At 46.8% G+C, this 10,201-nt stretch overlaps 1 pseudogene across 1 annotated transcript; it reads right to left on the bottom strand.

The window, feature by feature from the left end:
* Positions 1-6,207: 6,207 nt before the first annotated feature.
* Positions 6,208-9,204, bottom strand: LOC102724562 (macrophage stimulating 1 pseudogene; annotated as a pseudogene). The gene is made up of 11 exons (NR_135824.1): positions 9,036-9,204; positions 8,666-8,834; positions 8,416-8,546; positions 7,950-8,315; positions 7,822-7,858; positions 7,613-7,733; positions 7,363-7,440; positions 7,089-7,235; positions 6,901-7,007; positions 6,665-6,804; positions 6,208-6,540 (listed from the first exon to the last, which is right to left on the bottom strand). The product of NR_135824.1 is annotated as a macrophage stimulating 1 pseudogene (transcript).
* Positions 9,205-10,201: the final 997 nt, after the last annotated feature.

The following is a 10,201-nucleotide window of genomic DNA, read 5'->3' as shown; positions in this document are numbered from 1 at the left end:
GGTTTGGCCAGCCAGGCTCTGAGTGAGGAGATACGAAAGGTGACCAGTGACTGGACTCGCAGCTGCAAGGAGCTGGAGCAGTGGGAGGCGGCATGGAGGCGCGAGGAGGAGGTGGGCATGGGGGTGCAGGGAGGCCGGCGATATAAGAGGAAGATAATGCACAATTATGCTAGTGAGACTCTCTTTTCCAATAATGTTTGCACTTCTCAATACTACATTTAAAAAGGAAATAGGAGCACTTGAACGGTTAAGTAAGAAGATGAACAAAATTGAACAGAGGAAAAATAACTGTCTGAAGACATGTTGAAAATACATTTAAAGACAGTGTGTCTGAGACAGGAGCTGAGCTGGCCAATCCATCTTTTAAATAATTGAACATCATTCAGGTGTCAAGTATTTGACCTGGAGCCTGGAAGGGGAGGAGAGAGTCCAAAAAAAAGTCAAAATATAAAGAAAAAAAATTAAAGAACTTGTCCCACAAATCAGGCAACCAAGGTCTAAACTTATACCCTCTGCCTGGGTAAATTGTTGTTGCTTCTTTCTGTGACTCTTAAAAGATGTACCATATACCTCATTTAATGACTTTGATTTATTCATGAAAACTCTATCCCCATGGGAAAAGCTGTTAAATGAAAAAAGATTTCTTTTAAGTAGAAAAATTATGAAAGGATTCCTTCCAACCCTCCATACCCAAAATATCTCAAATGAATTATATAGCTATCAATTATCAATATATATCAAAATATATCAATTAAAAATATCAGTTAAACAGTACGTCAATTGAACTATGAAAGCAAGCTTATTTAAGTAACAAAGAATAACGTGAAGGTTAGTAAGTATAGCTTATACTTAAAATACAATGAATTGAAAGCTCATCGCACTTCATAGAGTAGGAAGAAGAAACTTAATAGAAAGTGGTAGTTGGGGGAGAAGGACTGCAAGGGAGTTATTTGGAAAATGCATTTTTTATTTCTGCATCATTTTGTTCACAAATTATTCTTAATCTTTTGTGAATTTGTGGATTTCTTGAACTCAAACCAGACTTAAAAATACAGTTATAGCACAGAAAAAAATCTTTCATGGCAAAATAAAAGCTAAGCAAGAGAGCCTTTCAAAACACATGAAAATAACACACACATACAAAAAAAAAAGAATAAAGAGATGTACAAGTGACACCTCCTCAACCTTCTCACTTGGTGTACATACGCACAGTAAATTATTTTGGGCTCAGCCAAGCATGGGAGCAATTCAAATAGATCCATATGATAGTCTCTGATTAGAAACTCTTGTGGAGTAAGTTGGTGAGTGTATCTTTGCCTAAAACAGTCATGTCAAAATATAGCTTTCTATAGCATATTTATTTAGTATCATTTTGGTGAAAAAGTGGTTATACAGAATAGAAAAGAGTTGTCCAAAACTAAGTGGTTGACCTTTCCAGAGCCATTACCTGCAGAATTGTTATGTAAGTCTGTTCCATACTCATAAAGGAATACTCAGCTGACCCAACTGATTTTCTCGTGTTTTTTCCTTCAAGGGCTAGTAGAAGTCTATATGTTGTGGTGGAAAACAACCTCAGCCCTATAGTCCAACATTTGCCTATCAAAACTTGTCCTATGATTTATAAAACTAGAACCTCACTGGTAAGTCACATTCCTAGAGTCTCCCCCATCCCTAACCCCAGTCACGGAAAATAAATCAAATCATTGTCACTCTTTCTTAACAAAGAGTATACATTTAAAACTTGAGTAAAATTACAGGTACCGTCTGGGGCCTTCAAGGGGGAACTTGAAGTCTCAATACCGCAGTTGTCCAATCAGAGGATCCAAGATGAATATACTCAAGGACTTTATGCTTGGCATCCTCTGGAGACAGTACATAACCACCAGCTTGGTTTAACTGGAGATTCATTTGGGTTAGGAGAAATTATGTAGGCAATGTACTTAGTCAATGGAGGCCTCATGCCTGAAGACTTACAAGAATCTGAATTCGTATGTTACTTTTCCTTTAATGGAGTGGAATTCCAAATGAAAATAATCAAACAGCATGTGCATAAACATTAGATATAATACCCACATTTACAAAGCCTTTATAGATATGCAAGTCATATTGTGTCTGTCCCTAGCTTCTGTACAGAATTTAATGGGTAGCTGTTACTATTTTATTGCCGTATAAAAATGAGGAAACTGATAAGTTGTCTAAAGGTGCACAATCAAAACACATCAAAGCCATTGTGAAATACAGGTCCCCGGATTTCAAAAACAGATCTTCTGCTTATAAATTCAGTCTTTTTCATACTGCCATAAACTCCAGAATGGGAAAACAAAGTTACTATCAGAAAAGCTTCTTTTAGCTGCGCGTGGTGGCTCATGCCTGTAATCGCAGCACATTGGGAGGCCAAGACAGGCGGATCACTTGAGGTCGGGAGTTCGAGACCAGCCTGGCCAACATGGTGATCTCTACTAAAAATACAAAAATTAGCTGGGCATGGTGGCGGACACCTGTAATTCCAGCTACTTGGGAGGCTGAGGCAGTAGAATCGCTTGAGCTGGGGAGGCCGAGATGGCTTAGTGATCCGAGATGGCGCCACTGCACTCCAGCCTGGGTGACAGAGTGAGCCGACATCGCGCCACTGCACTCTAGCCTGGGTGACAGAGTGAGACTCCATCTCAAAAGAAAAAAGAAAGCTTATTTTTTCCCCTAATCACCATAATATTCACTATTAAGTGAGGGAAATAGAAATAATTTACTTAGCAAATCCTTTCTAGTTCAAATAATTTGTATACAGGCTGTGCAAACATAATAATGAGAGATTCTTTTTAGTCATCTTGCTTTATATCACTAATTACACTCTTATTTAATGATATTTTAAAGAAAAACGTGTTTATTTTCAAGTAGAAAACTCATATCTGTCCACCAAGGAAAGCTGTAACAAATGTAAAATACATAAAAAAGATAACTGCTAAATTTCTAAAGCATTCCAAAAAAAGACAAATAGAAGGGTGTCAGATTAGGAAAGTATGTCTTGTAAGGTGTAACGGACAGACTGATGAGCTTAGAGATGTGGATCTCAAAGTGGTTCTCAGAGCAACAGCATCAGGGTCACCTGGGAACGTGTTAGAAATGCAGATTCTCAGGTACCATCCCACATTTAATGAATCAGAAGCTCAGAGTAGAGACCAGCAATTTGTTTTAACAAGTCCTTCAGGGATTCTGATACAGCTGATGTTTGAGAAACACTAGCTTTAGGTAAACGTAAGAGGGTCACGTTAGTATTTTTAAATCATTGGAAGTTGGTTTGTTTTGTTTTTTCTTAAGTGGGACTCATTTATACTTCAATACACAGAATGGATATTTAGAGGAAGTCGTTTTTGACCTAACACAGATGAGCATTTCCAATTGAATAGCGCTTTCTGATAATGGGGCTGCCCACTACAAGTGAATAACTGGGTTTCTCTAGGCTGGAGCTGCAGACAGGTCACTATGTGTATGGAGGATTGTATTAATATGATCGTGGCTCTTTATAGCTCTGCATTACTAATATTCTGTTTTAAAGTCTCTCCTCAATATCCAATGTCTCTGTGTGAATGACGGTAAGGAGTGGGTAACAGTAACAATCATCCTGTTGTTGACAACAGATGATAAGAGAAAGCCCAACTTTACACTCTGTATAATCTTACACCAATGCCCCATTCCTCGTCTAATTTTTTTTACATGTTAACACATGACCTTGGCATTACTAAATAAGAAGCCCTCTCACTTAGAACCCGATGCAGTATGATAAAAATTATTTTGAGAACAATCAGGAGCTCTAGTTTTCAATTCTGCTTCTCTTCTCAAGTAGTTCTGTGCCTTAGTTTCTTCTTTGTAAATTTAAATGGTTGGAACAGAGGATCTGTTAAGTGTGATTCAAGCTGAAATTGTATGTAGCCCACACTGAGTTTCTCTGCTATACCCCTAACCCATTCAACAATCACACCACCAGTTTTCAGGACTCACAGTAGGATAGCCGTCTATCATTTGTTAATAGGTGTGCTCTTTCATCCAAACAAGAAACTCATGATTTCTGCAGTTTTTTATTCTAGCCAGGTTCTAGGTGCTGGCCTGGAACTATAAAACAAACATTTCACAAAAAGTTATGACAATATACAAAGGAAAGACAATTTCTTTGAATATCCATAATCTCAATATGCAGTCTGGCTGTGGATGGCCAAGAGATAGTTTCCTTAACTGGAAAAAGCTTTTAAATGAGGCTTGGTGGAAGATATATCTTTGCATCATTACAAAGAAGAAAAAAGAGAAATCTCACAACTGAAGAAAGTGAAATCCACTTTACTTAATGCGGACCTCTGTCTCTGGTGTGCAGGTCCTCTGTGTCCAAAGATAATTAGCACTTTATAATGCTAATTATTATAATTATGTCTGAGAAAAAAATCATTAGGGGGTAGGCCCGTTCACTGATTTTCAACTGCCCCCTCTATTTAAAAATAAGGTCATTTTTCTATGAAATAGCTTTAGGAGCTCAAAGCAGAAAGAGGGTTATAGAAAATCCTGTGTAGGTATAAGCCTGAGTTTTTAATATTCTTATAATTCTGTGATGTGTCTGGAAACTGAACCGGGAGGAAAACAGTGAACCTATTTAGTCCAGGAGACTAGAAATCAGGACTCAGAAGAGTAAACATTTCTGTAATAGTTAGTCCTCAAATAGTCATTCATTGACCTTCCACTGGGTGTCTCGCAATGTGCAAGCTGCTTCTAGATGCTACCTCATGTAACAACCATCACAGTTGCACAGAGCAAGTACTAGTACTCCACTTTCATAGATAAAGAAGTAAAATCTTAGAAATTAGCTGCCCAATGTCATGTATGTAGGAAAGGAAAGCTGGATTCTGATTCATATTTGCTGGCTCCAAAGCACTTTTGTAAATACTTCACTATCCTGTGCTTACATGTAAATGTACCATTTCTCTTAGGGGTCTTGAAATACTGAATCAAAGAATGGTGTAGGGGAAGGGCAGTTTAGAAATACCTGGAAATTTGGTTGTTTGAAGGAAGCCCCCTCTCAGATGGTAGGAGATCAATCTAACAGAATAGCTGAGAATATTTTCTGAGGCCCCAGAAGTATAAAAATGGTCTAGGGGGGAAAATTTGGGACACAGAGTGAAAATAGCCTGCCTCTGAAGACCAGCTTCATTTCTTCCCCTCTGGGTGTTAATGAAAGAGCCTTTAACTTTGCCAGGCCTCAGTTACTAATTTCTAAAACAACTGCTGCTACTATTACTACGGATCTTACTGCTACTATGACCACCACCACCACCACATCAGTTACTGAGAACTGAACTAGATGCCAAGAAATATGGTAAACACTTCATATACATTATCTTTTTAAACACAAAATGTACTATTAATCCAGTTTTACATATAAGAAAACTGAGGCTCAAAGAGGCTAAGTAATTTGTATGTGAACATGCTTTACACTATGTAAAACACCTTATTAGTAGATATCACTATTATTAAGAACCTATCAGCCGGAGAGGAAGAATTGGCCTTTTATCTTTCTAAGATGCACAGTTGTCTTTCTGTTTAATGGTTTTTTAAAAATCCCCCTGTGACAAGCTCCAGAGGACAAGTAATTTATTTCTTGTGGTGTATGGCTCTCTAAATGAATTAATTGATAGGCATCCCCTTGTCAGTCTCAGGGATGTGGAAATAAAACAGACATGAGATGTTTTTTACCAAACTAATTTGTGCTTTAAACACATAAATAATAAATATATATATATTAAAGTAAATGTGTATTTACCGTCTCTCCTGCTCCACTTTGAATTCAAGAACCCGTGTCTTTGTTGGGTCACTGCACTGTCAATTGAGAAGTTTGGTTTTGTTTCTTTGAGTGTTAGTAAGTGGCATTAAATGGTAAATATTGCCGGGGGAAAGAAAGGAGAAAAACAGCTCTTCCAATCCATCCCTGTTTCCATTCAATTAAAGGAGGGTAGAAAGAATACTTAAGATAATTGTAATAAGTCTAATAGAATAGCAGGAGCCACTCTTTTCCTTTCAGTAGGCCATTAGCTCAGAACTATTTTCAGAGTAATACTAAGATGATATTTGCCTTTTCACTGTGTTGGCACTTGTATTGATAAGGCAAAAACAGTGGAGTCTTAGCAAAAATTAAGACCATGAAAACAAACTGCACTAGGAATAATTCTCTTCTTCATTACTGTTTACTTGCAGGGGGAAAAACCATTTTCGTTTAAGAAAGTCCTTGGTGAAGTAGTAAAAATATTAATTTTATTAAATCTCAACCTTGAGTACAAGTCTTGTCGTTGACTGTACTTAAAAGTTTTGTCCTCCCCAAAGCATATGGCGTCAAGGCTGGGCCTAACCCAGTCTCATGACCTTGTGAATCCAGTCCACAAACACAGAGACACGTGTGAAGACGGCTGGCCAGCGCGACCTTGCGCATACTCGGTTGGGGATTCTAATTCCTTCCAGGACCCAGCAGTTGTGGGTAAAGCAGGCAAGTGGGCCCCCGTAGTCACCCTGGCAGGTAGGAGAACTGATGAGGGCCCCGGGCCACAGCAATGACTAGCCTGCTTCATGATAAAATAGTTCATTTCTAGCCCCCCATACCCTTCCAGGGCTGGCCCAGGGCCCTGCTACCAACCTCACAGGGCCCCACAGGGGCCAACAGTCCCTCAGTGCACATCTCGCTCTCCCGCACATGTCCTCGGTGCTTGATGTTACACTCCTGGTTGGAGATGACGTTCAGCAAGGCCACATTTAGGACTGTGTCATTACCCGTACCTGCAGTGAGGGGAATGGGGAGAAGGAGACGGTCCTGGAGGAAGATCCAGGGCTGGGCCTCCTGGCCACCAGCAGTCCTGTGCACTATGCTCTTACCTTTGGTCTCACCCCAGCCTGCAATCTCACACTTGGTCCCTGGAGGCACCACATACCATTCAGGCGGCAGGCAGATCAGGGCCACACGCTGGTTCAGGGTCACAGATCTTTAACAAGAATGGGGGCACTCAGGGTCTGAGGCCACAAGGCTCAGCCCCACCTCACATCCTCCCAGGTTGTCCACATACCTCTCCAGCTTGAGCAGGACAAGCTGGGAGCCTGAGGGCCCACACAGCATCTTGGCTACTGGGACCCGCTGTAGGCCTGGCTCTCCATGTTGTGGGTTCTGGAACAGGGTGCCCAACCATACCTCATAGCCCGTGAGAGGCATATGGCTGGGAGAGAAGCTCTGCTAGGTCATTTGTGACTCTCAGTCCGTTGCCCCAAGGCTCACTTGTTAGCTTGCCTGGGGAAAGGGGAAGGTGGGATGAGACTGGGTCCCCAAACACAAGGGAGGCTCACCAGGAGGAGAAGCACTGCCGGGCAGTCAGTATCCACTGCTCCTTCACTAGAGACCCCGCGCAGAAATGCTGGCCCTGCCTAGAGGAGTGGGGAATTAGGACAGGAAACAGACTCCTGGGACAGATGCTAGACCTGCCATCTTCTGGCTAGGACCTCTGGGGGCAGGGATAGATTCCCAGCCCCCAGTGGCATAACCACAGAGGACACAACCTCAGCTCCTCTCTGTGGGAGACAGGCAGTTGTGCCTCACCGATTCCCCAAGCTGACTGTCCAGGGTGAGTTGCCCGGATGGCCCCCAGCCACGCGCAGCTTGGAACGACGCTGATCCAGCCGATCCACCCTCTTGCCACACTTCTCAAACTGCACCTGGTCTGTAGGATGGGGTGGGCTGGATGAAACCCAGACTGTGTGGATGTCGTGGGCTAAAGGGCCTGACCCATAACTGGCCCAACTCCTAACCTGGGGGGGTCCAGGATTGATGGCGGCTGGTCATCAGCTGAAAGACAAAGTTCACTGGGGTTAAGGGAGCCAGCCTTTGGTGGTGGGGGCTGAGGCAGGGTCATGGGGCAAGCGTCACTAGTGCTCACCGCAGCGTCGCAGGGCACAGTAGTCGAATGGGGTCCTTGGGTCCATCGTGTAGCACCAGGGCCCATGGCTATCCCCATCTGGGTCTGGCAGAAGTTCTCCTCCAGTTGTGCATGCGGTTCGGAGGTAAACGTGAACCGAGGCGGGAGCGGGAGCAAAATCGTGGCAGGGTAGTCTCAACCATTTCCAGGCTCTGGTCCCAGACACCAAAGCATGCCGCCCCAGGGTTAGGGCCCTGGCGGGGCCGGGAGCACCAGGGACTCACTGCGGCTTGTGCGGCGTCTCAGCGGACCAGCGCTGGCACTGGACACCCTTGCGGGTCTTGCTGACCGTGCCGCGGTACTGCTCCCCCGCGCCGTGGTAGCAGTCTGCGGCCGGTGCGGGCAGCCATCAGGCCGAGACCCCGCCCCGGCCCTCCGGTTCCAGGCTTCCAGCCCCGGCTCTGTAGCCCCCAAGCTTGGGCCTCACCCTGGGGCCGCACGTCGTCTGTACAACGCCGGATCTGGTAGCAAAAGCCCACGCGCATGCCGGGCCGCAGTGTGAAGCACCAGGGCGCCTCTGAGCCGTCGAGGTTCCGGCAGAAGTTCTCCCGAAGGTCTCTAAGCAGGCGCTGCACTCAGCCCTAGCCCGCCAGCCTCCAGCCCTAAGCCCGTGACTACCCTCCTCCCGTCTCACCCGCAGCAGCACGTCCCAACGCCCGCCCCCCCGCCCACCTCACTTGCACGCGTATTTTTCTGGCGTAAATCGGTGCTGATGCGGGATTTGCGCGTCCCAACGCTGGCAAGGTACGCCCGCGGTGGTGGTATTGGCTGTGCCCCGGTAGCCCTCACCCTTCCCGCGGAAGCAGCTGACACTTGTGGCCTCTTGGCGGGGCTGTGCCTCGGACCCTTAGATGGACCGAGATAGGTCGGGCCCCGAGCGACAGCTGAGATCCCTCTGGGGCTGGGACCAAACCCGCCTTTCCCAGGTGTACGGTACTCCACGGGATATGCTCTCAGGTCACGCCCAGCCCCTCTTACCTCCCGGCCAAGCCACGCCCCTCCCCAAGGTTCCCAGGTACCCTCCCAGGCCTGGTCCCCGCCGCCTACCGCAGCGGGGGAGGTCACAGAACTCTCGCTCGATCTGCGGATCCGTAGTGTAGCATCATGGCCGCTGGGAGCCGTCAGGACTCCGGCAATAGTTGTCGTCCAGACCTTGGTCGAGGAACCTGGGGGCGGTAATGGGGCGTGAAGAAGACCCTGGGACTCTGGCTTATCTGGCCCCGCCCAGTTGCCCTACACGGAGCCCTGCCCCTGGAGTCCTGGACCTTCCCTAGCCCGGCCCCCAGGGCGCCGATACCGCCTACGCGTACTTGCCCGGCTCGAAGGGGTGCTGGTGCGGGTGCTGAAGATCCCAGCGCTGGCACTCGCGCCCTGACTCGGTGCGGTCTACCGCGCCGCGGTATTCCTCGCCATTGCACCAGACACACGCGGCTGGAGACAAAGAGCCAGTGGGTTCGTGGATGGGCGTGGGCTTGTCCCTCCACTCTCCCAGCTTGACCCGGCGCCGCTTACCCACCCGGCAGGATTTGATGCCGCAGCTCTGGAAGCGCACGGCAGGGTCTGTTGTGTGGCACCAAGGACCTCCGGGGTCGCCATCAGGGTTATGGCAGAAGTTCTCTTCCAGGCCATTCCGGAGCGTGGGCATGTACCTGAGGGCCCAGAGCATCACTATAGTGTGTGCTGGGGGAAGGTCCCAGGCCGGGACGGAGGGAAGGTGTTTGTCTCACTTGTGATCATTCGGGAACTTGTGGCTCCAAGCCTGGCAGGACAGGCCACCCACGGTCGTGGCCATGGTGCCCCGGTACCCAACCCCATTGTTCATGATGCAGGTCCGTATGTAGTCTGGGAGCAAGAGACAGAAGATCAACTTGGGCTGAGGTCCCCTGTCTCCCACCCTGCCCCTCTCCACCCCCACTCGCCTTTCTTCTGGAAGAGGTCACAGCGCCCAGAATGCCACAGCCTTGAGTGGGGCGAGTGTTGAGTCCATGGCAGCAGTTGGCAACCATGGCTGCTCACATTGTAGTGGAAGGCCCTGGAGAGAAGAAGGCACAGGGTAACGCCACGGCCCAGGCTCCCCTGCCCCCAGTCTTATCTAGGCCCAGTGGCCACTCACCAGCAGTCCGTTAAGGGCCCACAGCGACCAGCACACTCTTCAGCATCTGCCACATCCTCCTGCCAAGGCCCAGGCACCACCGCATGTAGCAGGTGCTGTA

This window comes from Homo sapiens (assembly GCF_000001405.40).
Source record: "Homo sapiens chromosome 1 unlocalized genomic scaffold, GRCh38.p14 Primary Assembly HSCHR1_CTG8_UNLOCALIZED".
Lineage (NCBI taxonomy): Eukaryota > Metazoa > Chordata > Mammalia > Primates > Hominidae > Homo > Homo sapiens.
The sequence above is the reverse complement of the archived record's forward strand: the minus strand, read 5'-3'. Positions and strand labels throughout refer to the sequence as shown.